Genomic DNA, 27,191 nt, shown 5'->3' on the forward strand with positions numbered 1-27,191 from the left:
CCTAGTGCTTCAGGGTCAACTCATGGAAAGCCTGGGAACAGCGTCTTCTAGACCTGCCTTCATTCCACAATTATTGTTGCCTTGTGGTGTTGATATAATATTTTTCTTTTCATGTGTAAGATGCTTTTGACCAGTAAATAAGATATAATTAGCCACAGTGAGGCACTTTAAACACTCTTTGGTCATGTCTATAAAACTAGACGTTTACCCAATAATTGCCAAATTCATTTCCGAACCCCTCACATTACTTAGCTTGTAGCTGCACTTGTAAGACCTTGCAGAGCCTTCTCTAGTCCTCTCAATCAGGGGCTAAGTCTGCCCTTTGTCTTTCATAGCCTTTGCCTTTATTCCACTGTGGGTTATGGTCTTGCATGTGCTTACTGCATCTCCCCAGGGGTCAGGCTCCCCGACCCATCCCTCTACTCCTTTTACTCACCCATCCCTCTACTCACTCTGCAGGGAACCTGGTTCAGAGCATTGCTTAGAGCTGGGACTCAATGACCAGTAACTGGAATACACTGAAGAAATTCTTGTTGTACTAGGTGAGTTTAGTAATGACCTAGAAATGATTTGAGTACGATAGGAAATAATGAGGATAAAATGACTACAAAGCCATAGGCTGTTCATGTCAAACTATTCAGCCTGTCTGATATAAAAGGAATTCTACTTTTAAAAATTTCAATTAACTTTTTAATGAAAAACTAATTCTATAAGGAAATGTGATGTTTTAAAAAGCTCTGATAGCTAATTGTTAACATGCAATTAAAAAAACTTGAAGGCTGTGATTTCATAGATAGAATGTCCACAGCAGTGAAAAAAAAACTCCCCCAAGCAATAAACAAAATTGATAGCTCTTTTAATTATAGGGTAAGGGAACTTTTAGAATGCTTAACATCTTCTTGTTTAGTGGCAAAGAAATGGCCTGGATTCCATTAAGAATTAGCAGTTCACTGCATTAATTTAAGATTTTTAAAATTCTTATGTATAATATATTTTGATCTAATTTCCATTTTATTTCACAGTTCCCATCTATAAAAGAAGATGTCATGGCAGAAAGATCTTCCTAAAGGCATAGGTTGAGAGGCCAACATTGGTAGAAATGGGATAACAGCCAGGCAATTCTGGTAGTTTCCTCTGCCTTTCACTGAGATTACTGTAGATACCATTACATATATGACTATATATATGACTATATATAGACTATGTATATAACTATATACATAGACTATTGGCTACTTTTAAAAAGCCTTTCAAATATAAAATATTTTATATATGACCATATATATATATATGACTATAGATACCATTATATATATGTCTATATATATGACTATATGTAGACTATATATATAATTATATACATAGACTATTGGCTACTTTTAAAAAGCCTTTCAAATATAAAATATTTTATTTTTGGCCTTCCAAATATAAAAGTTATTGCTATAATGTTTTGCAACTATATTAAAGTTGATATCCAGAGAAGGCATGAGAAAAACTAGTTTCTTGATGTAATTGTTTAGAATTAGAAGCACCATCCAATTAGCCCAGGTGGCATTACAGATACTTATGTTAACAGGCTCTTTCCAACCGATATAATCTCCCTTTGCTACAATTTTTCCTCATCCCCTTTTCATTGTCATACCACCTGCCATGAAAATTATCTATCTGTCAAAGTTACATTATTAATTTAACTTGATTGCTGTCACCTATTCAACAAATTCTGTACAAAAAAACTAATTTGTTATCATATAGTTTCTCACATACAAGAAATTAATGAGAAACACAATTCTTAGTAATAAAAATAATATATGCAGAATTTACAAAATTGAAAAAAATAGCTCTTTCCACTAGTGTTAATTGAAAAATGATTTAAAGCCAATTTATTTCCTTAAATAGTACAATATGTCTGTGTCAGGCCAAGTCAAAAAGATAAGATGTTTTCAAAGCTGCAATCTTCCAAAAGCTCCAAAAGCTAATTGATAAAAAGGGCATTTTAGCAAAACTTTGGAGACAGTAAAAAGATCAGAGGTTAAGAGGGTGGGATGAATAGGAGGAGCACAGAGGGTTTTCAGGGCAGTGAAACTTCTGCATGATGCTATAATGGTGGATCCATGTCATCAAACATTTGTCCAAACCTATAAAATGTACAACCCCAAGAGTAAGTCTTACATAAACTATGAACACTGGCTAATAATGATGTGTCAATGTAGGTTCCACCATTGTTACAAATGCACCACTTTATTGGGGGATGTCGATAGTGGGGGAGGCTGTGCAGTAGGGGCAGGGGCATTTGGAAAATCTCTGTACCTTCTTCTCAATTTTTCTGTGAACCTAAAACTGCTTAAAAAATAAAGTCAAGTTTTTTAAAGGCATTTTAGCCTGTGGATAATCAGAAAGCTCTACGCAGCAATGGGGAAGTACATTCAGGGTGGCATACACTAAGCTACCTAGTCTGAATGAATGCTACCTCAAAGCTAGAATGCTTAGTGACAGGTTATCTGACAAATCAGGCAGGCAGTCTTATGAGACTGAGCTTCAAAAGAGATTTCCAGGGCCTCTTTCTGTATGAAAATTTTAGGGGAGTATATGCTTAAGTTTTCTTTGCTCTATAAATTACATGATTGGGCTCAGAATTTTAAAGGCCAAGATTTCTACCTTGAGTATAGGCCATCTGCATTTTACCAGTTATAGCAATTGAATGATTTCACATAATGCCTAGTGGACAAACAACCACTGAGAACAATATGAGAAGAAAACTGAAATATAGCTTCAACAGAAAGATTGAGTAGTTATTGGCTTGTTCACTGTGTGATATGGGTTGGCTGTGTCCCCACCCAAATCTCATCTTGAATTGTAGTTCCCACAATCCCCATGTGCCGTGGGAGGGACCCCGTGGGAGGTAACTGAATCATGGGTGTGGTTACCCTCATGCTGTTCTTGTGACAGTGAGTGAGTTCTCATGAGACCTGGCTTTATAAGGGGCATTTCCCGCCTTGGTTCTGCACTTCCTCTTGCTGCTGCCACGTGAAGAAGGACATGTTTGTGTCCCCTTCCACCATGATTGTAAGTTTCCTAAGGCCTCCCCAGCCATGCTGAACTGTAAGTCAATTAAACCTCTTTCCTTTGTAAGTCACTCAATCTTGAGTATGTCTTTATTAGCAGTGTGAGAACAGACACTGTGAATAGGATAACAGGGAAAAAAGACCACTATTAAATGATAAACTTATAAAAAACAACATCGACTTCCCTTCCACTTTCTTAAAGAATAGAAGTCAAATAAATAGGCAAAAATTGCACACAAAAAACTGAGAAGATTTAGAACCACATTCCATATCTATTGAGATAATCATGTAGTTTTTGTCTTTACTTCTGTTTATGTGATGAATCACATTTATTGATTGAGTATGTTGAACCAACCTTGCATCCTGGGAATAAAGCCTACTTGATCATGGTGGATAAGTGTATTAGCCCATTTTTATACTGCTATGAAGAAATACCAGAGACTGTGTAATTTATAAAGAAAAAGAAGTTTAATGGACTCACAGTTCCACATGGCTGGGGAGGCTTTAAAATCATGGCAGAAGGCGAAGGAGGAGCAAAGGCATGTTTTACATGGTGGCAGACAAGAGAGGGTGTGCAGGGGAACTGCTCTTTATAAAACCATCAGAACTCATGAGACTTATTCACTATCATGAGAACAGCACAGGAAAATCCGCCCCCATGATTCAATTACCTTCCACCGGGTCTTTCCCATGACACATGGAGAAAATGTGAGGTACAATTCAAGAAGAGATTTGAGTGGAGACACAGCCAAACTATATCAATAAGCTTTTTGATGTATTGCTGGATTCAGTTTTTCAGTATTTTGTTGAGATTTCTGCATTGATGTTCATCAAGGATATTCTCCTGAAGTTTTCTTTTTTGTCATATCTCTGCCAGATTTGGGTATCAGGATGATGCTGGCCTCATAGAACGAGTTAGGAAGGAGTCCCCCCTCCTAGATTTTTTGGAATAGTTTCAATAGGAATGGTACCAGCTCTTCTTTGTATATCTTGTAGAATTCAGCCATGAATCCATCTAATCTTGGGCTTTTTTCATTTGGTAGGCTACTTATTCCTGCCTCAACTTCAGAACTCATTATTGGTATGTTCGGGGATTCAATTTCTTCCTATTTCAGTCTTGGGAGAGTGTATGTGTTCAGGAATTTATCCATTTCTTCTAGGTTTTCTAGTTTATGTGCATAGAGGTGTTCATAATATTCTCTGATGGTTGTTTGTATTTCTGTGGGGCCAGTGGTAACATCCCACTTATTTATTCTGATTGTACTTGTTTGAATCTTGTCACTTTTTTTCTTTATTATCCTAGCTAGTGGTCTATCTATTTTATTTTTTTTTTCAAAAAACTAGCTCCTGGATTTGTTGATCCATTGAATGGTTTTTCATGTCTCTATCTCCTTCTGTTCAGCTCTGATTTTGATTATTTCTTGTCTTTTGCTAGCTTTGGGATTTGTTTGTTCTTGATTCTCTAGTTCTTCTAGCTGTGATGTTAGGTTGTTAACTTGAGACCTTTCTAACTTTTTGACGTGGGCATTTAGTACTATAAATTTCTCTCTTAACACTGCCTTAGCAGTGTCTCAGAGATTCTGGTACATTGTATCTTTGTTCTTATTAGTTTCAAAGAACTTCTTGATTTCTGTCTTAATTTCATTATTTACCCCCAAAGTCATTCAGGAGCAGGTCATTCAATTTCCATGTAATTTGTATAGTTTTAAGTGAATTTCTTAGTATTGATTTTGAATATGATTGTGCTGTGGTCTGAGAGACTGTTACGACTTCAGTTCTTTTGCATTTGCTGAGGAGTGTTTTACTTCTGATTAATATGATCAATTTTACAGTAAGTGTCATGTAGCAATGAGAAGAATGTATATTCTGTTGTTTGGGGGTGGAGAGTTCTGTAAATATCTTTCAGATCCATTTGAGTTCTGTAGATATTTATCAAATCCATCTAATTCAGGACCTGAGCTCAGGTCCTGAATATCTTTGTTAATTTTTTGTCTCAATGATCTGTCTAATATTGTCAGTGGGGTGTTAAAGTCTCCCACTGTTATTGGGTGGGAGTCTAAGTCTCTTTGATGGTCTCTAAGAACTTGCTTTATGAACCTGGGTGCTCCCGTGTTGGATGTATATATATTTAGGATAGTTAGATCTTCTTGAATTGAACCCTTTACCATTATGTAAAATATAGGATGATGTAAACTTAGGACAGTTAGATCTTTGTCTTTTTTGTTCTTTGTTGGTTTAAAGTCTGTTTTGTCAGAAACTAGGATTGCAACCCCTGCTTTTTTCTGTTTTTGATTTGCTTACTGGATTTTCCTCCATCCCTTTATTTTGAGCCAATGTGATTATCTCAAATAGATGCAGAAAAGGCTTTTGGTAAAATCCAACATCCATTCATGTTAAAAACTCTCAATAAACTAGTTATTGAAGGAACACACCTCAAAGTATTATGACCCATATATGACAAACCCACAGCCAACATCATACTGAATGGGCAAAAGCTGGAAGTATTCCCCTTGAAAACTGGCACAAGACAAGGATGCCCTCTCTCACCACTCCTACTCAACACAGTATTGGAAGTTCTGGCCAGGGCAATCAGGCAAGAGAAAGAAATAAAAGGCATTCAAACAGGAAGAGAGGAAGTCAAACTATCCCTATTTGTAGATGGCATGATTCCATATCTAGAAAATGCCATCATCTCAGCCCAAAAGCTTCTTAAGCTGATAAACAACTTCAGTAAAGTCTCAGGATAGTGCGAAAATCACTAGCATTCCTATCCTCTAACAACAGTCAAGCTGAGAGCCAAATCAGGAATAAACTCCCATTCACAACTGCCACAAAAAGAATAAAGTACCTTGGAATGAAGCTAACTAGGATGGTGAGAGATCCCTACAAGGAGAACTACAAACTACTGCTCAAAGAAATCAGAGATGACACAAACAAATGGAAAAACATTTCATGCTCATGAATAGGAAGAATCAATATCTGAAAATGGCTATACTACCCACGCAACTTATAGATTCATGCTATTCTCATTAAACTACCATTAAGATTCTTCACAGAACTAGAAAAAACTATTTTAAAAATTCAGTTGGAACCAAAAAGAGCCCAAACAGCCAAGGCAATCCTAAGCAAAAAGAACAAAGCTAGAAGCATCATGCTACTGGACTTCAAACTATACTACAGGGCTACAGTAACCAAAACAGCATGGTTCTGGTACAAGAACAGACACATAGACCAATGGAACAGAATAAAGAACCCAGAAATAAGACTGCACATCTACAACTATCTAATCTTCAACAAACCTGACAAAAACAAGCAATGGGGAAAGGACTCCCTATTCAATAAATGGTGCTGGGATAACTAGCTAGCCATATGCAGAAGATTGAAGCTGGCTCCCTTCCTTACACGATATACAAAAATCAACTCAAGATGGATTAAAAAATGTAAATGTAAAACCTAAAGCTAAAAACACTCTGGAAGACAGCCTAGGCAATACTATTCAGGACATAGGCATGGGCAAAGATTTCATGATGAAGACACCAAAAGCAATTCGCAACAACAACAAAAATGGACAAATGGGATCAAGTAAATGAAAGAGCTTCTGTGCAGCAAAAGAAATTATCAACAGAGTAAACAGCTGACAGAATGGGAGAAAATTTTTGCAAACTATGCATCTGACAAAGGTCTAATATTCAGCCTTTATAAGAAACGTAAACAAATTTACAAGAAAAAAATAAACAATCCGATAAAACGTGGGCAGAGGACATGAATAGACACTTTTCAAAAGAGAACCTACATGCAGCCAACAAGCATAGGAAAAGCTCAACATCACTGATCATTAGAGAAATGCAAATCAGTGGTGTGGAGCCAAGATGGCGGAATAGGAACAGCTCCAGTCTACAGCTCCCAGTGTGAGCGACGCAGAAGATGGGTGATTTCTGCATTTCCAACTGAGGTACCGGGTTCATCTCACTGGGGAGTGTCGGACAGTGGACGCAGGACAGCGGGTGCAGCGCACCGAGCATGAGGCAAAGCAGGGCGAGGCATCGCCTCACCCAGGAAGCACAAGGGTTCAGGGGATTCCCTTTCCTAGTTAAAGAAAGGGGTGACAGACGGCACCTGGAAAATCGGGTCACTCCCACCCTAATACTGCACTTTTCCGATGGTCTTAGCAAACGGCACACCAGGAGATTATATCCTGTGCCTTGCTTGGAGGGTCCTATGCCCACAGAGCCTCACTCATTGCTAGCACAGCAGTCTGAGATCAAACTGCAAGGTGGCAGTGAAGCTGGGGGAGGGGCGCCCACCATTGCGGAGGCTTGAGTAGGTAAACAAAGTGGCCGGGAAGCTCAAACTGGGTGGAGCCCACCGCAGCTCAAGGAGGCCTGCCTGCCTCTGTAGACTCCACCTCTGGGGGCAGGGCATAGCCAAACAAAAGGCAGCAGAAACCTCTGAACACTTAAATGTCACTGTCTGACAGCTTTGAAGAGAGTAGTGGTTCCCCTAGCATGCAGCTGGAGATCTGAGAACAGACAGACTGCCTCCTCAAGTGGGTCCCTGACCCCCGAGTAGCCTAACTGGGAGGCACCCACCAGTGGGGCAGACTGACACCTCACACGGCCAGGTACTCCTCTGAGACAAAATTTCCACAGGAAAGATCAGGCAGCAACATTTGCTGTTCACCAATATCCACTGTTCTGCAGCCTCCGCTGCTGATACCCAGGCAAACAGGGTCTGGAGAGGACCTCCAGCAAACTCCAACAGACCTTCACCTGAGGGTCCTGACTGTCAGAAGGAAAACTAACAAACAGAAAGGACATCCACACCAAAACCCCATCTGTACGTCACCATCATCAAAGACCAAAGGTAGATAAAACCACAAAGATGGGGAAAAAACAGAGCAGAAGAACTGGAAACTCTAAAAATCAGAATGCCTCTCCTCCTCCAAAGGAACGTAGCTCCTCACCAGCAACAGAACAAAGCTGGATGGAAGATGATTTTGATGAGTTGAGAGAAGAAGGCTTCAGATGATCAAACGACTCAGAGCTAAAGGAGGAAGTTTGAACCCATGGCAAAGAAGTTAAAAACCTTGAAAAAAATTAGACGAATGGCTAACTAGAATAACCAATGCAGAGAAGTCCTTAAAGGACCTGATGGAGCTGAAAACCACAGCATGAGAACTACGTGACGAATGCACAAGCCTCAGTAGCTGATTCAATCAACTGGAAGAAAGGGTATCAGTGATGGAAGATCAAATGAATGAAATGAAGTGAGAAGAGAAGTTTAGAGAAAAAAGAATAAAAAGAAATGAACAAAGCCTCCAAGAAATATGGGACTATGTGAAAAGACCAAATCTACATCTGATTGGTGTGCCTGAAAGTGACAGAGAGAATGGAACCAAGTTGGAAAACACTCTGCAGGATATTATCCAGGAGAATTTCCCCAATCTAGCAAGGCAGGCCAACATTCAAATTCAGGAAATACAGAGAACACCATAAAGATACTCCTTGAGAAGAGCAACTCCAAGACACATAATTGTCAGATTCACCAAAGTTGAAATGAAGGAAAAAATGTTAAGGGCAGCCAGAGAGAAAGGTTGGGTTACCCACAAAGGAAAGCCTATCAGACTAAGAGCTGATCTCTCAGCAGAAACTCTACAAGCCAGAAGAGAGTGGGGGCCAATATTCAACATTCTTAAAGAAAAGAATTTTCAACCCAGAATTTCATATCCAGCCAAACTAAGCTTCATAAGTGAAGGAGAAATAAAATACTTTACAGACAAGCAAATGCTGAGAGATTTTGTCACCACCAGGCCGGCCCTAAAAGAGCTCCTAAAGGAAGCACTAAACATGGAAAGGAACAACCAGTACCAGTCACTGCAAAAACATGCCAAATTGTAAAGACTGTCGAGGCTAGGAAGAAACTGCATCAACTAACGAGCAAAATAACCAGCTAACATCATGATGACAGGATCAAATTCACACATAACAATATTAACTTTACATGTAAATGGACTAAATGCTCCAATTAAAAGACACTGACTGGCAAATTGGATAAAGAGTCAAGACCCATCAGTGTGCTGTATTCAGGAAACCCATCTCACATGCAGAGACACATATAGGCTCAAAATAAAGGGTTGGAGGAAGATCTACCAAGCAAATAGAAAACAAAAAAAGGCAGGGGTTGCAATCCCAGTCTCTGATAAAACAGACTTGAAACCAACAAAGATCAAAAGAGACAAAGAAGGCCATTACATAATGGTAAAGGGATCAATTCAACAAGAAGAGCTAACTATCCTAAATATATATGCACCCAATACAGGAGCACTCAGATTCATAAAGCAAGTCCTTAGAGACCTACAAAGAGACTTAGACTCCCACACAATAATAATGGGAGACTTTAACACCCTACTGTCAACATTAGACAGATCAACGAGACAGAAAGTTAACAAGGATATCCAGGAAGTGAACTCAGCTCTGCACCAAGCGGACCTAATAGACATCTACAGAACTCTCCACCCCAAATCAACAGAATACACATTTTTTTCAGCACCACACCACACGTATTCCAAAATTGACCACATACTTGGAAGTAAAGCTCTCCTCAGCAAATGTAAAAGAACAGAAATTATAACAAACTGTCTCTCAGACCACAGGTCAATCAAACTAGAACTCAGGATTAAGAATCTCACTCAAAATCGCTTAACTACATGGAAACTGAACAACCTGCTCCTGAATGACTACTGGGTACATAACGAAATGAAGGCAGAAATAAAGATGTTCCTTGAAACCAATGAGAACAAAGACACAACATACCAGAATCTCTGGGACACATTTAAGACAGTATGTAGAAGGAAATTTATAGCACTAAATGCCCACAAGAGAAAGCAGGAAAGATCTAAAATTGACACCCTAACATCACAATTAAAAGAACTAGAGAAGCAAGAGCAAACACATTCAAAAGCTAGCAGAAGGCAAGAAATAGCTAAGATCAGAGCAGAACTGAATGAAATAGAGAAACAAAAAACCCTTGAAAAAATCAATGAATCCAGGAGGTGGTTTTTTGAAAAGATCAACAAAATTGATAGACCGCTAGCAAGACTAATAAAGAAGAAAAGAGAGAAGAATCAAATACACCCAATACAAATGATAAAGGGGATATCACCACCAATCCCACAGAAATACAAACTACCATCAGAGAATACTATACACACCTCTATGCAAATAAACTAGAAAATCTAGAAGAAATGGTAAAATTCCTTGACAAATACACCCTCCCAAGACTAAACCAGAAAGAAGTTGAATCTCTGAATAGACCAATAAGAGGCTCTGAAATTGAGGTAATAATTAATAGCTTACCAACCAAAAAAAGTCCAGGACCAGATGGATTCACAGCCAAATTCTACCAGAGGTACAAGGAGGAGCTGGTACCATTCCTTCTGAAACTATTCCAATCAATAGAAAAAGAGGAAATCCTCCCTAACTCATTTTATGAGGCCAGCATCATCCTGATACCAAAGCCTGGCAGAGACACAACAAAAAAAGGGAATTTTAGACCTATATCCCTGATGAACATCGATGCAAAAATCCTCAGTAAAATACTGGCAAACCGAATAAGCACTTCAAAAAGCTTATCCACCATGATCAAGTGGGCTTCATCCCTGGGATGCAAGGCTGGTTCAGCATACGCAAATCAATAAACGTAATCCAGCATATAAACAGAACCAAAGACAAAAACCACATGATTATCTCAATAGATGCAGAAAAGGCCTTTGACAAAATTCAACAACCCTTCATGCTAAAAACTCTCAATAAATTAGGTATTGATGGGACGTATCTCAAAATAATAAGAACTATCTATGACAAACCCACAGCCAATATCATACTGAATGGGCAAAAACTGGAAGCATTCCCTTGAAAACTGGCACAAGACAGGGATGCCCTCTCTCACCACTCCTATTCAACATAGTGTTGGAAGTTCTGGCCAGGGCATTCAGGCAGGAGAAGGAAATAAAGGGTATTCAAGTAGGAAAAGAGGAAGTCAAATTGTCCCTGTTTGCAGATGACATGATTGTATATCTAGAAAACCCCATCGTCTCAGCCCAAAATCTCCTTAAGCTGATAAGCAATTTCAGCAAAGTCTCAGGATACAAAATCAATGTGCAAAAATCACAAGCATTCTTATATACCAATAACAGACAAACAGAGAGCCAAATCATGACTGAACTCCCATTTACAACTGCTTCAAAGAGAATAAAATACCTAGGAATCCAACTTACAAGGGATGTGAAGGACCTCTTCAAGGAGAACTACAAACCACTGCTCAACGAAATAAAAGAGGATACAAACAAATGGAAGAACATTCCATGCTCATGGGTAGGAAGAATCAATATTGTGAAAATGGCCATACTGCCCAAGGTAATTTATAGATTCAATGCCATCCCCATCAAGCTACCAATGACTTTCTTCATAGAATTGGAAAAAACTACTTTAAAGTTCATATGGAACCAAAAAAGAGCCCGCATCGCCAAGTCAATCCTAAGCCAAAAGAACAAAGCTGGAGGCATCACGCTACCTGACTTCAAACTATACTACAAGGCTACAGTAACCAAAACAGCATGGTACTGGTACCAAAACAGAGATATAGACCAATGGAACAGAACAGAGCCCTCAGAAATAATGCTCCATATCTACAACTATCTGATCTTTGACAAACCTGAGAAAAACAAGCAATGGGGAAAGGATTCCCTATTTAATATATGGTGCTGGGAAAACTGGCTAGCCATATGTAGAAAGCTGAAACTGGATCCCTTCCTTACACCTTATACAAAAATTAATTCAAGATGGATTAAAGACTTAAATGTTAGATCTAAAACCATAAAAACCCTAGAAGAAAACCTAGGCAATACCATTCAGGACATAGGCATGGGCAAGGACTTCATGTCTAAAACACCAAAAGCAATGGCAACAAAAGCCAAAATTGACAAATGGGATCTAATTAAACTAAAGAGCTTCTGCACAGCAAAAGAGACTACCATCAGCGTGAACAGGCAACCTACAGAATGGGAGAAAATTTTTGCAATCTACTCATCTGACAAAGGGCTAATATCCAGAATCTACAATGAACTCAAACAAATTTACAAGAAAAAAACAAACAACCCCATCAAAAAGTGGGTGAAGGATACGAACAGACACTTCTCAAAAGAAGACATTTATGCAGCCAAAAGACACATGACAAAATGCTCATCATCACTGGCTGTTAGAGAAATGCAAATCAAAACCACAATGAGATACCATCTCACACCAGTTAGAATGGCTATCATTAAAAAGTCAGGAAACAACAGGTGTTGGAGAGGATGTGGAGAAATAGGAACACTTTTACACTGTTGGTGGGACTGTAAACTAGTTCAACCATTGTGGAAGTCAGTGTGGCGATTCCTTGGGGATCTAGAACTAGAAATACCATTTGACCCAGCCATCCTATTACTGGGTATATACCCAAAGGATTATAAAACATGCTGCTATAAAGACACATGCACACGTATGTTTACTGTGGCACTATTCACAATAGCAAAGACTTGGAACCAACCTAAATGTCCAGCAATGATAGACTGGATTAAGAAAATGTGGCACATATACACCACGGAACACTATGCAGCCATAAAAAAGGATGAGTTCATGTCCTTTGTAGGGACATGGAAGAAGCTGGAAACCATCATTCTGAGCAAACTATCGCAAGGAGAAAAAACCAAACGCCGCAAGTTCTCACTCATAGGTGGGAATTGAACAATGAGAACACATGGACACAGGAAGGGGAACATCACACACTGGAGCCTGTTGTGGGGTGCGGGGACGGGGGAGGAATAGCATTAGGAGATATACCTAATGTTAAATGACTAGTTAATGGGTGCAGCACACCAACATGGCACATGTATACATATGTAACAAACCTGCACGTTGTGCACATGTACCCTAAAACTTACAGTATAATAATAAAAAAAAAGAAATGCAAATCAAAACCACGATGAGATATCATCTCACACCAGGCAGAATGACTATTATTAGAAAGCCAAAAAATAACAGATGCTGGTGAGGTTGTGGAGAAAAAGGGATGCTCATACACTGTTGATGGGAGTATAAATTAGTTCAGGCATTGTGGAAGACAGTGTGGCAACTCCTCAAAGACCTAATGACAGAAATACCATTTGACCTGGCAATCCCATTACTGGGTATATACCCAAAGGAATAGAAATCATTATGTTATAAAGACACATGCACACATATATTCATTGCAGCTCTATTCACAATAGCAAAGATGTGAAATCAATCTAAATGCCCATCAATGATAGACTAGATAAAGAAAATGTGATAAATATACACCATAGAATACTATGCAGCCATGAAAAAGAACAAGATCATGTCCTTTGCAGAGATGGATGGAGCTGGATGCCATTATTCTTAGCAAACTAACATGGAAATAGAAAAACAAATACCACATGTTCTCACTTGTATGTGGTAGCTAAATTATGAGAACATACACACACATAGAGGGGAACAACACACAACACAACAACAACACACACCTTTCAGAGGGTGGAGGGTGAGAGGAGGGGGAGGATCAGGAAAAACTACTAATGGGTATTAGGATTAATACTTGGGTGATGAAATAATCTGTAAAACAAACTTTTGTGACACAAGTTTACCTATATAAGAAATCTGCACGTTACCCCTGAACTTAAAAGTGAAAAAATAACGAACTGCATTCCATTAGAACTAGCCGTGAAATAAAAAGATATTTCCAAGAAAGCTTCAGGAATAGACTTCCCAAGAAATTTTATAAAACCAGAATTGATTTTCACATGTCTGGGATATTTAGATGTAGCCTTGCCTCAAAGAAACCCTTCGAGGTTTTTTCCAGCCGTATGATTCCATGACAGGATGCTGGGGCTACAGTAATCCTTGGTTGATCCAAGAACATAGAGAGCCTAGCATCTGCCTGCCATGTAGAAGCACTGCACAAAGGTCTCATGTATATGATTCATTACATGTGCGTAAATGGAATACAATTGTCTATTTTTAGGCCAACTTGTGGTATCTCCATAATTTTCAGATTTTCCATTATTAAAAAAAAAAAAAGAGAGAGATTCGACCGGGCGCGGTGGCTCACGCCTGTAATCCCAGCACTTTGGGAGGCCGAGGCGGGCGGATCATGAGGTCAGGAGATCGAGACCATCCTGGCTAACACAGTGAAACCTCATCTCTACTAAAAATACAAAACATTAGCCAGGCATGGTGGCGGGCGCCTGTAGTCCCAGCTACTTGGGAGGCCGAGGCAGGAGAATAGCATGAACCCGGGAGGCAGAGTTTGCAGTGAGCCGAGATCGCACCATTGCACTCCAGCCTGGGTGACAGAGTGAGACTCTGTCTCAAAAAAAAAAAAAAAAAAAAAAAAAAAGATTCATCCTTAAGTCATTTAAATAAAATGATGGAAGAATGATTTCTATGTAAGTGATTTAAAAGCACAGGCACTTGATCCAAATCCTTCTGGGATACAAAGCATCCCAAAGTACATAACACAATTTCTTGCCTTATTAAGCTACAGCTTCATTACACAATTTAACCTCTTTTAGATGACTCACAGTCATCATCTATAAAATTTAATTCAACACACATTTGAGGAACATCCACTATTTCAGCACAATACCAGGTTTGCCAGTCTATGCCCATGTCTAACAATAACGCAAGAGATTGTGGTTATGTCAAAGTGAGGTTGAAAGTCAGTGCTGGGAGTACTGGGGCAGGATGGAACTGGGATCCCAGGGAAGGCAGGTAAGCATGAGGACAAAGAGCTCAGCCCGCTGTGGGTTGCAGATCCCATCTTCCTTTGCTAACCTGCGTGACCCTGGCCAGATTGCAGAGTCTTCATTTCAGTATCACTGAGTGAAGATAACAATCATAACACCTCCTGCGTAAGGTAGTCACCAGAATTAACTGATGCAAAACAGTATTTTTAAAAATGTGAGTCATAGGAGGAATTTAATGGAACATGACAATCACTTTAAAAACAAAATGAAATAGAATAGAAAAAAAGTCAAATGGAACAGAAAATATCGGAGGGCATCACGTGTAGTAAATGTAAGTTTGTGGTGTGCGAGTACTTTCGTGGCGTGATTATAACTTATATTTTCTATCGTGGGTCACCATAGGGCAAGTTCAAAAACCATAGGTATAAAGCTTTTGGCACTCGGTGCCTAATGTGTAGCCAGTGATAAAAAGTGGTGAAATAAAAATACAGCATTTAAGTTGAGCTTTAAACAATAAACATTTTTACCAAAGAGGATGGAATGGAAAAGGTAAGAAAAACCCAATACGTGTACACACACACACACACACACACATACACACACGTGCACAAATGCAGACACATATGAGACATGGTATTACTTAGATATTGGATGGAAGAAGGTTTTTAGAATATGAAACTAGACAGGAGATGCAGCTGGATTGTGGAAATCTATCTAGGTCATATTGAGAATTTTGAATGTCTTTAGGTAAAAACTGCGAAGTCATCCAATAAATTTGCACTAGGAAATAACATGCTCAGATTCAGAATTGGAAAAAGGAATTGTGACAGGGATGTGGACAACAGACTGGGAGTTGAGCCTGGCAGTGGGAAGGCTTCTGACTTGGTTTTGATTCTCCAGGGGAGGACCTGAAGCAAGGCAATGGCATTGGGTGTGAAAGGAAGGAGATTAAGAAGACATTGCATTGGGAGGCCGAGGCAGGCCGATCACTTGAGGTCAGAAGTTTGAGAGCAGCCTGGCCAACATGGTGAAAACCCCATCTCCACTAAAACCACAGAAATTAGCCTGGTGGGGTGGCGGGTGCCTGTAATCCCAGCTACTCAGGAGGCTGAGGCAGGAGAATCGTTTGAACCTGGGAGGTGGAGGTTGCAGTGAGCCGAGATTGCGCCACTGCACTATAGCCTGGCGACAGAGTGAAACTCCGTCTCAAAACAAACAAACAACAAAAAAGACATTGCAGAGAGCTCTTGTGACATGATGTCACTTTGCTCATTTATTTCCTCTGATCATATTACCCTTTCCTGCCTCTGATTCATCAGGTAAAATTCTTCTCTTCCTGCAAGCCAGGGCTAGCTATGTGTTCCAAGCAACCATCTCTGGCCGTATGTTTGAGTGACACCCAGTCCGCGCTCCTGCACTGTGCTGTGCACATCATTGCTGTGTCCTCTGTCACATCACACAGAAGGGTGACATTGTCTAGTGTTTCCTGCCTTCCCTGGAACTTCTGGGTATGGGTTTGGAGCGTACGTCATGGTCCCTTTGTGGTTAAGACATGGACCAGAATCTTATGACAGATTCTGGCTCGTGATTTGTGCTTGGAGCGTTTACCTGCCTATGTCAGCGCCTCAGAGATTTCTTTCTCTTTGTCATGAAACCTGCCTGGGTCCTTCCTGGAGTGAAGATAGCATGGCATGTACTACCACATACTCACAATGAGCATGATCGTGAAAGAAAAATAAAACCATTGGTTGTTGTATGGTTGTTGTAAATCACTGAGGTTTCAGGCCTGTTTGTGATGCCCCCTAACTCAGCATCTCTTGATTGATGTGATTCAGAACCTGGCTCAGAGCTTGGTGTAAGAGTAGTGCTCTATGTTTATTTGTGGTAAAAATGAATAAATGATTAGGAGAGGAACTATAGGTAGCTTGAAGGCTTCTGGTCAGAAGGCAGCAGATTTTGTTAGATCGTAAGCTAAATCAGAACACAGGAAAAGAGGGAGACACAAGTATAAATGTGTTTGTGGGCACATTGAATGCGAAGTACTGGAGAGGTCTTCCTGAGTACGCAGATGGTGGTAAGCTGGAAATATAGGACTGACGGTTCTCTAAGATTGTCAGGATAGAGATAAAAAATGCGAACTCTTTAATTTCAGATGATAGTTACATTATAAGAACAGATTCAATGATCCACAGAGATAGTGAAGAATATTAAGAGATAAAGGAAGAATATTGGGAAATGCCTACATTTAAGGGTGGGAAGCAGAGGGACAAGAAGCAACAAAGAATAAAAAACATGATAATGGAAGCTAAGAGAAGGAGGATTTTAAAAGCAAATTGCTATCTAGTAGCGTCACTATATGCTACAGTGACATGAAATAGGGAGGGTACTGGGAGGGAGGAACGACGTTTTAATACAGCCAGGAGGTCCGTGTTCCGTGTGAGAGAGGAAGAATGAACACAGCGATGAGTATCATTGTAGATACAGATGAGCACGTTAGATGCTGCTTTCCAGATTCCACGTTATACCACTTTTCCACTCCTTGAGATTCCTGCACATTTCTGGTTCTCGGAAGTCCCCTTTCGCTCTCAGCCTGACTATGGCTTTATTTGATGCAGTCTGTGGCTGATTGGGAGGCAAACACACACCTGTTGCCTGGGGTGGGAAGCTGTCTGGACCTGGTGAGTTACTTTGCCTCCCAGAAGACTTGTTTAATTCTAAGTTATGGGCTACAATGTGGAGAACTTAATTGCCCAGGTCTTCTGGGTAAGAAGAGTAGTGGTGTATTCTCACTGATTAACTCAGCAACATTTATTGAGCACCTACTATGTACAGGAACTGAATAACATTATCATCTGAAGCTGGAATAACCAATGTGAATCACAGCTCAGAGATATTTTATGCCTTCTGATTTTTAGTTTTCATTAATGAGAAGTCTGTGCTTCCTAATTTTACATTTCTAAGCTCCGCAAATGAGATTAGCATTGTGAAACAGACAATGTCTATATCATAATGCTTATTTAATGTGTATATAGTAAAAGCAGTCTGTTTGTGAAAGTTTTTCAGACTGCTTTTATGTAGACGGGAGCGTTGGGGAGGAAATGAAGCTTGGCTGTTTTCTTCCTGGGACCTTAAAAGGGTTATCTCACGTCTTTGGATTTTCATTGCTTATAATAGATTGTTTGATCATTCAAACCACTATATATTAAAATTAATAGCCAGAATCCACAAATTATGTGGATGAGGCTCTGAATCAAATGACTTTTGAGATTTTGCAGTTTGAATCTCTGATTGGGGAGTTTAATATCTCATTGCACTGTTGGACCCCCGAGGGAAAGTTCATGTTCAGTCCACATCATCTTTAGACAACCTGTTTGTAGATTCATTCTCAGTTACCCTAACTTGTCATCTGGCCACATGCAAGTTTCAAATTCTAATGTCTTTTTCTAAGCTAAACTGAGAGAGCACCATGAAATAAATGCCTATCAGCAGACATTATATGTCACATATTAGAGAAAAAAGCTTGTCTATTTTAACAGGGTTCTTTCCCAAGAAGGGGAGATGAATTTGGGATCTTGAGAGAAAATGACATCAGCGAGGAGGTTAGCTGAGGGACTCTTATAAAAGGGACCAAATTACAAGGCATATTGTGTCCTGATTTATCCCCCTATGTTCTACATTTAACTATGAAATCATTTCAAAGAAAAAAAAATTCAGATTTATGAGCAAGGAAAATATCTAGAGCTCATACTGTCCTCTGGTGGTCATTCGCACACATAGCCAGAAATGCAAATGCCTTGGAAAACTTGACAGCATCTAGTTTACCGACTGAAAGTCAAATTGCAGAAACTGATGAAAACAAAACAAAACAAAAAAACACCCTCTTTCCTGTACTTTAAAGTTTCTTGATCATTTCATATTTAAAACAGAATAATGGATACTATTTACAAGTATTCACCTCTGAAGAGAAATAATTGTCTCTGAGCTTGACTCTCACTGATACTATTTGATGTAAAAAATAGGTCTCGTGCTCTTAAATGATGGTTGAGATAGATAGACAGGAAGGTGGATATGGAGAGGGAACTGTTTTTAGTTCACTTCACTTCAATTAAGATGCTCTGGGGTTCTGGGACCTCCTTGTAACACTTTCTAGGTATTATCTCCTGGAAGAACACAGGCACCTGCCCATCATATTTCTATGTCTCTAGTCTTTTTAATATGGTCAAAAGGCAACACAGAGATACCCTGATAAAAATCTCAGCTGTTATTTCCCACCTTTTTCTGGTGGGTTTGCTCTCATTACTGTCTTTTTTTTTTTTTTTTTTTTTTTTTTGAGACAGAGTCTTGCTCTGTTGCCCAGGCTGGAGTGCAGTGGTGACATTTTGGCTCACGGCAACCTCCACCTCCCAGGTTCAAGAGTTTCTCCTGCCTCAGCTCCTCCCAAGTACCTGAGATTACAGGCATGTACCACCACACCTGGCTAATTTTTGTATTTTTTGTAGAGGCGGAGTTTCATACGTTGGCCAGGCTGGTCTCAAACTCCTGGCCTCAAGTGATCCTCCTGCCTTGGCTTCCCAAAGTGCTGGGATTACAGGCGTGAGCCACCGTGCCTTGCTGGCCCTCATTACTGTCCCTTTTGAGAGTGTGTTGTTAAGATCCTGGGCAGGTCAAATCCCATTGTTCTGTGGGTGAAGAGACAGGAGAAATCCTGGGGAAATGCGTTTCTACCCCATCTAACAACACCTGTGTGACTTTGTTTTCAGGATAGGATGTTTTTTCTTCCTTTTCTATTGTATGTAATTCTTAGGCCAGGAGGACAGAGCCAAATACAGCCTGTATCATCCACAAATAGGGGCTTTCTCAGTAAGCATCAGTCACTAAGGACTCATTTCAAGTAAGCCAGGTAGGGATTTTTAGTGCAGAGATAAAGATAAGATGATTGAGAAGACAAAACGAGAGGAAGCTGCTGGTCTTTCTATACCCTGCTAGGTGCTTTCTAGCCTGTTAGAGTCAAAAGAGCAACCGTGAATCCCATAGCAAAGAGATCAATGAATGAATGAGTGAATACTAATACAGATGCAATTCAAGTTCTAGTGGAAAATGAGTATACTTTATTTCAGCAATAATTTTTGTCTCTCTTTGGTGAATACGGGACATGTCAGTGATAAGCAGAAAAGCAGAAGCCACCCTGGGCATTGAGGGCACAATGGCTCAGCTTTTTTTCAGTGTCTACGCTGCTCTCCATCTCTGGGCTTTGATAGTAGGATTCAGTAAGTGAGGATTAACAGCATATTGAAAACCACATAAGAAGCCCAGAAAAATGTTGTGGAGTCTAACTCTGACTATTTACGTTTACATATTGACTTCAAGGGCAGAGTACTGCCATGAATGCATAAGCAGTAGAGAACACACCTTGCTTTTTCAGCAACAGACGGAACTTCATGGGCCAAGCAAGCCCACACACTCTCACACACTCACTGTTGGGGTACACCAGGCCTCAGGGGCACCTGTGGACTCTGAGCTTGGGCAAACATATCACCTTGATTAAAAGATTAATCCATAAATTTGTTTGGGAATATTTTTCAGCCCTAACAAGGAAGGAGATTCCATCGCATGCTACAACATGGATGAACCTTGAGGATATCATGTCAAGTGAAACGAGCTGGTCACTAAATGACAAATGCTATATCATTCCACATGCATGAGGTCCCTAGAGGAGTCAAATCCAGAGACAGAAAGTAGAATGGTGGGTGCCATGGGCTGGTGGGAGGGAGGATAGGGAATTCGTGTTTAATGGGGACAGAGTTTCGGTTTTGTAGAGTTCTGGAGATGGATGGTGGTGATGGCTTCACAACAACGTGAAGGTATGTAATACTGATGAACTCAATAATCAAAGTGGTCAAGAGGGTAAGTTTTACGTTATGTGTATTTTACCAGAAAGGAAACAAAACCAGTGTGTATATTCACTCAACAAACGCTTAGTGAATGACTACATGTGTCAAGTTCTATGCTGGGAGCTGGAGATACAAAGATGGAAGAGACATGGCACCTGCTGCAGAAAATGTCATAATGTTTCCATGAAGACATCGTCAATTTTGGTGGGTCATTTTAATGTTTTCTTTTCTTTAAAATTTCCCTTTTTGATATGTTTTGGTGTGGTCTCAGAAGCAGTCTAACTTTATAATGATTATTCAGCAGGAATAATATGAACGATAACAAAAACCACACTTTGAAATAGTAAATAACTTTTAGTTCCTTCACAATGAACCAGGCTGACTGCTGTAACTGTAAGGGTAATAGATCTTCATTAAAGTCCCTCATTTCTAGCACAATAGGGTTTTGCCTGCTATTCTTTTCCCTGTGAGAGATGGAGGAGGGAAAGAAGGGAGGGATAGGGTGGGAGGGAAGGAAGGAGGGAGGGAAGGAGGGAGGGAGGGAGAAGGGAGGGAGGGAAGGCGTGAAGTGCTTATCATGATGAGTCCAACAGTAAAATCAATAGGTGTTGTCCACTGACTATCAATTAAGGCACAATCAAGGCCTCTGGGTTTTGATTTTGATCAGGCTGCTGGCAGTTTAGTGGGAACTCACCAAATAAACAATAATTCCAGACAATTGTCCCCCTTGTCATGATTCAGGAGCGTATTTTCAAATGAGGTGTAAATGAGGACTTTGTTTTGTATGTGGAGACAGCAGGGGCAAAACAAAACCACTGGAAAGACCCAGGTAGGTGGGAAACAAAGGAACGAAACTGTCCAGTGCGAGCACCTGCAGCTCGTCCCTGGCAGACGCTTGAAAGGCACTTGGTTATTTACCAACTTACTGTGGGATAGGGGTGGGAGCAGAATACAGTGTACTTTCGGATGATGCCGTTCAGCTTGAGAGGGGGAAGCCAGGACACAAAGACCATGGAGGCTGAGGCCGCCGCTGCCTTCACACCCGCGGGAGGACCTGGAACTGGAAGAGCCGTGTGTTTAGTCACAAGGTGGGGCCTCAACTTGGGCTTGCGGACCCACGCTTCCCAACATGACCCCACTCCGCACTTACTGTTCAGCTCTTTCAGGATGAGCGTTATGGGTTCCGCTGTGTCCCCCCAAATGCATATGTTGAAGTCCTAACCCCCAGGACCACAGAATGACACTGTAATTGGAGGTAGGGTCTTTACAGAGGTAATCAAGTTAAAATGAGTTTGTTAGGGTGGTCCCTAATCCAGTACTTCTGGTGTCCTTATAAAAAGGGCCAGTTTGGACACAGAGACAGACATGTATAGAGGGAAGATGATGTGAAGACACAGGGAGAAGAGGGCATCTATAAGCCAAGGAGAGAAGCCCAGGACAGATGCTTGTCTCAAAGCTCTTAAAGAGAACCAGCCCTGCAGACACCTTGATTTTGGACTTCTGGCCTCCAGAACTCAGAGACAGCAAATAAATTCCTAATGTTGGAGTCTGTGGTCCTTTGTAGCTCTAGGACCTAATACAGTCAGTTCTAGTCCCTCTTGTCCTGGGGAGTCTTCCCAACCCATTTCAGCCCCTGGCAACTTCCTGCCTCTGGATAACTGGAGAATTAACTTCTGGATCAGTCTCATTTCTGCTGCAGTTTTTGGCTTTGAATGTACTGGGGATGAACCTTTTGGATCCTGAATTTGAGAAGCATGAGGGTGAACTACCTCAGCCATCAGAGACCCCACCCTCCCTCACCCTAGTCATTTTGTAATGGCACCACTTTGGGCTCAGGAGAGGTATGGAAATATTGTTGATGAATAGGGATTATTGGGTCAAAGATTCACAGTATCCATGTAAGACAAACTCTCCTCTGTAAACCAGCTAAGAAGGCAGAACATGGTGGCAGCAATACTAAGCATGATTTGGGAGTGAGATTGAAGGCATGTCCCACTCCTCTTGTTCTTTTATTTTCCAGGTTGAAGAGGTGAGGGCGGGTGAGATGGCCAAGACAAGAAGATGCCAAAATGTCAAAGGTGCCAGTGAGGAAGGCATCAGAGCTCTTGCTTTGTTTCTCATTAACCTCACTGTCCATATGGAGGGCAACCACATTGATGGAGACATTGAAATTCAAACCAATAGAAGTCCCTTGCAAGCCCCTGGAGAAATCTGTGAGTCTTTTACTGCTTTGATGGCAATGCAACTGCTCAGTAAATTGTTTTGGAGTTGAATGTGCTTCTCATAATCGTCACCTTGACTCTTCTAAGTCTGCATAACAAAACCAAGAGCTCTGGTGAGAACTAACTTGGGTTGGACATAGTCACCATTTGAAAATATAAAATCTTGGTAATCCATTTTTGGCAAGTCTTGCTAACAGTGGAAGGTCTAGAAAAGGTAACACACATAAATGATAGATCCTGGGTTAAAAAATCCCTTGAGAACAAACCTCTATCAGGTGAGGGTAATGTCTAAGACATCCACAACCTAGTTCAGAGCTGCCAGGGTTCCTCCTGAACAACAAGGGCAGAGTGAACGTTTCCTGGGGATTTTAATCCTAGTAGACACCCCAGCTTAGCCAACACTCTCAGTCCTTTCCATAAAGCCCCTGGTTGGTGTTCACCACAGTGAACATTCTTGCTGGACAGCTTCTCTTTAGGAGGCCAAGTAGTTTAGCACCAACCAGTTGAATGGCTGCTGAAGAGGAGTCAGTTGTATTTGTTTCCAACCTGTTTGTGACAATTGTACGTGTCATGGGTAGTACTGTAAGTTAATTAATTACGTAAACCAATGAAATTCAAGTGCAAGAGAAAGCTGTTTCTATGACAGTTAATGGGACTACTTTGGAAAGCCTTCCTTAGAGGTAAGTTAGAAAAGAAATTAAAAAGAGAAAGAAATGAAGGAGGGAAGAACAAAAGGAATGAAGGAGGGAAGGAAGGAAGAAAGGAAAGAGGGAAGAAAAAAGAAAGGAAGGAAGGAAGGAGGGAAGGAAGAAGGGAAGACAAAAGGAAAGAAGGATAAAAAAGAAAAGAAAGAAGAAAAGAAGGAAAGAAGAAAGGAAAGAAAGAAGAAGGCCGATCTATGTTTGGTCAGGACCACTGAGAAGAATGGGACATGTGGATTTGTCCCAATTTGCAAACAGATCGTTGGTAAATGGTCACATGCTCTTACTTGAGACACCAGTTGAAAAATGCAGATGCTACACATTAAATGCAGTTCATGGAGTAAAAGATGGCACAGAGCTCCAATCTTTTCACCCAAAACTTCAAGAAGTGATCCTAAGTCATGTGATTAGAGAATGATTAGGGAATAAATACATATTTATATGTTTTAAGTTAAAATGCAACATTTCAGGTACTTCCTGGCCACTGCAAAGTTTGGTGATTCCTTGTTTTAAGTGATGATTTCCGTGAGCATGCCTGTGTCACAGCCGATCAAGGGACTTTTACTGCACCATCTAAACTCGCAGTTGGCTCCTCCTGCATGGATTTATGATCTATCTTACACAGTCTTTCCTTGTATGGTTACTAGAACTTTGTACAATAAAATAACAACATAGATAAGTTGAAGAACACGGCATTTTGGAAGGTTTTCTGGATGACTGAGCTAATCTTTTCAGAGCTAGAACTTAACATTTTAGTTCTGGTTTGGACAACATCATAAAGCTTAAAGGTGTGGGCCCTGGAGCCTCACTGCTGGTTTCATGCGGCTCTAGCACTTAGTTCCACGTCCTGGACAAGCTGATTAACTTCTCTAATAATCTTTAGTTCCCTCATTTATAAATCTACAATAATAACTGTGCTGGCTTATGTTTTTACTGTTAGAATTATAAGAGATAATTCATGTAAATCATTTATTTATTGTTCTCTGTACAGTAAGCACCAAATAAGTTCTAGCTATCATCTCTAATAACCATCCTTATGTCCTTGGATTATATGTCACTAAATGATACTAGCCTTTACTTTGTGACTCAGTGGTGAATGACAAACACCAGACACTGAGAGTTGCAGAAGACAGAGATGGCATAGGATGGAGTAAAAAACGGTATATGTCTGTCTGGGACATATTTTCTTGAAACATTCTTAGTGACCACATTCCATTTTGGTAATCTGAGTTTTTCTTATGAAGGTCAAAACAAACTTGGGAAGTTTTCATGAATTCCTGGGCATCATAGAGAGGAGTTCTGCATTTAAGTTTAATTGATTGCAGTAAAGAATGTGGCCTTCAGAGAATCCTCTCTTCTACATTCCTCCAATGCACCTGGACATCCCTTCTGAGCTGCAGATGCTTCTGTGTCTCATGTGTCCAATTGGCTGAGATGTTTCACACGGGCACCTTAGACCGACATAGTCACAACAGCACTCACCATCTTCTATCCAAACCTGTGCTTCTCTTGCCCCATCTCAGGAAATGGCCCCATCATCTTCTCAGTTGCAAGAACCAGGACCTGGAATTCTCTTCCTGCTGTCACTTGATGGGCCCTTTGGAGGTCCACATGGACAGGACAGGTCAGCAGTTGGGCTCTCCCCCTGATCTGATGGTGCTCCCCAACACTGAGCTCTGTTTCAGTTCCCTGAACGTGGTTTGCTTCTCCCACCCCGGGCCCTTGGGATGCCATGATCCAGGGCCTTGGGATGCCTCTGTCTGGAGTTTTTCCCACCCTCTGCCTTCTTCCTGGCAACTCTTACTCATCTCTCAGGTTCTAGCACACGTCATTTCCTCCAGGAAGTCTTCCCTGATCACCAGCTTAGGTCAGGTCAGGGCTCCCATGTCTCTGTTGAGACTCTTCTTCATCATTGCACTTGACACAGTCCACTCAGGGGTGATCTATCAACGTCTGTCTCCCCCACTAGCTTGCAAACCCCACCATGCCCATCCTGTTTCTCTGCATCTTTAGTTCCTGGGCCAGTATCTGGAACATACTAGATCCTCAATACAGATTTTCCAAGAGTGGAAAAATGATTTCATTCGTGTCTGTGTGGTAGGCAGGATTCTACAATGGGTCCCCAAGATCCTTACCTTCTAGTGTATGTGCCTGGGTGATTCCTTCCCCTTGAATGGGTGTGGCATCTGTTACTATGATGGACAGATTCCTCCCATGGGCAGGTTGTGCCATGTGGCAAAGGTGAAGGGCTTGTTCAGGTATCATTGAGGTTCTAATCACTTGACTTTCAGTTAATGAAAAGGAAAGTTTCCTGGGTGGGCTGGGTTTAATCAGATGCGCCCCTTAGAAGAGGAGATGGAGGTCAGAGACAAAAGAGGTCAGAGGGATTGGAAGCCATGTGAGACTTTCCTATTGGTCCTGAAGAAGGAAGCTACCATGCTGTAGGGGGTGTGACAGGGAGTAACAGGCAGCCTCTGGAAGCTGGTGACTCCAGCCTCATAACCAAACAAAAAAAAAAAAAAAAAAAGATCCCATATCCTGTGAGCCTGGGAGACCTTGACCTCAGATGAGGGCACAGGCCCAGCTCACACCGTGATTCATCTGTCGGACCCTCAGCAGGGGACTCAGCTCAACCAGACCTGGATGCCTGACCCTTAGAAACGATGAGATAAGACATTTGTATTGTTTTAACGTGTTAAGGTTGTAGCAATCTGTTCCACAGCATAGAAAATAAATACAAGTGGGTAAGCCCTCCTGTAACATACCTTAATGTAAAAATACCACAATCATTTTTCTGAAACAGTATTGCCTTGTTTTGAAGTATGAATATCGGACAAAAGTCTGACTAAACACCCACACAGACACCGCAGTCAGCTTCATTTTTTTTCACCATCATTTTTCTGGTCTTAGTAAACAGCCACAGGCAGGTGTGTGTGTGACTTGTGCATGCACAAACATGCATGTACATATGTGGTACACCATGGTAGCCAGATCCTTCTGAACCCACAACTTTTCAGTGGCTTTTCCTGAGCCATGCCGTGCCGTGCAGATGCTACGATCCTGGAGGGACATGTCACATTCACAGCTGTCATCCCACCAAGCATGCACATATGTCCCTTTTCTCTTCCCATGTCCATAAGACTCTAGTATTTTTGGCCTTTCCTCTCACTAGAGCAAGAGTGTTCATTCTTTAAATGTTTGACTGATCCTTTAACCAAATCATCATGTGGAAACCCAGCACATAACACAAGTGGAAGTGGGGTGGCTCTTGAAGCTGGGGTCAGGGAGAGAATGGAGTCTCCCACTGGGCCTCTTGCTTACCACTGGGCACTGCTGAGGCCCACCTAGTTTGAGGTAAGAACCTAGTTTGGGATCCACTGCAGTGGAGGGAGTGTGGAAAGCCACATGGTAGAATCTCTTCTAGGACATCTTGTCTGTCGTGTTGCTGGTATACCTGCCACTGCACATGGCACACTACCATAGGCTATAGAGCACTGGAATCTTGAGCAGTGTGG

The 27,191-nt window shown here is 40.9% G+C and overlaps 1 protein-coding gene across 4 annotated transcripts in view, besides 1 other annotated feature; it reads right to left on the reverse strand.

Moving 5' to 3' along the window:
• Nucleotides 1–27,191, reverse strand: part of DSCAM (DS cell adhesion molecule) — an 836,160-nt gene that overhangs the window by 91,517 nt on the left and 717,452 nt on the right. For all 4 annotated transcript variants that reach the window (NR_073202.3, NM_001271534.3, NM_001389.5 and 1 more), the window contains one exon: nt 21,680–21,813. Coding sequence is in view for 3 of the 4 variants with exons in the window: in NM_001271534.3 (NP_001258463.1) it covers nt 21,680–21,813 (134 nt within the window). In the remaining variant the exon portion in view is untranslated. The remainder of the gene's footprint in view (nt 1–21,679; nt 21,814–27,191) is intronic.
• Nucleotides 104–605: an enhancer, noted in NCBI's record as "NANOG hESC enhancer chr21:41474546-41475047 (GRCh37/hg19 assembly coordinates)". NCBI's record gives its function as "activates a minimal SCP1, AML or CMV promoter by ChIP-STARR-seq in primed H9 embryonic stem cells {active_cell/tissue: H9 hESC(primed)}" and the evidence as "EXISTENCE:reporter gene assay evidence [ECO:0000049][PMID:30033119]".

This window comes from Homo sapiens, chromosome 21, assembly GCF_000001405.40.
Source record: "Homo sapiens chromosome 21, GRCh38.p14 Primary Assembly".
In the NCBI taxonomy this organism is placed as follows: Eukaryota; Metazoa; Chordata; class Mammalia; order Primates; family Hominidae; genus Homo; species Homo sapiens.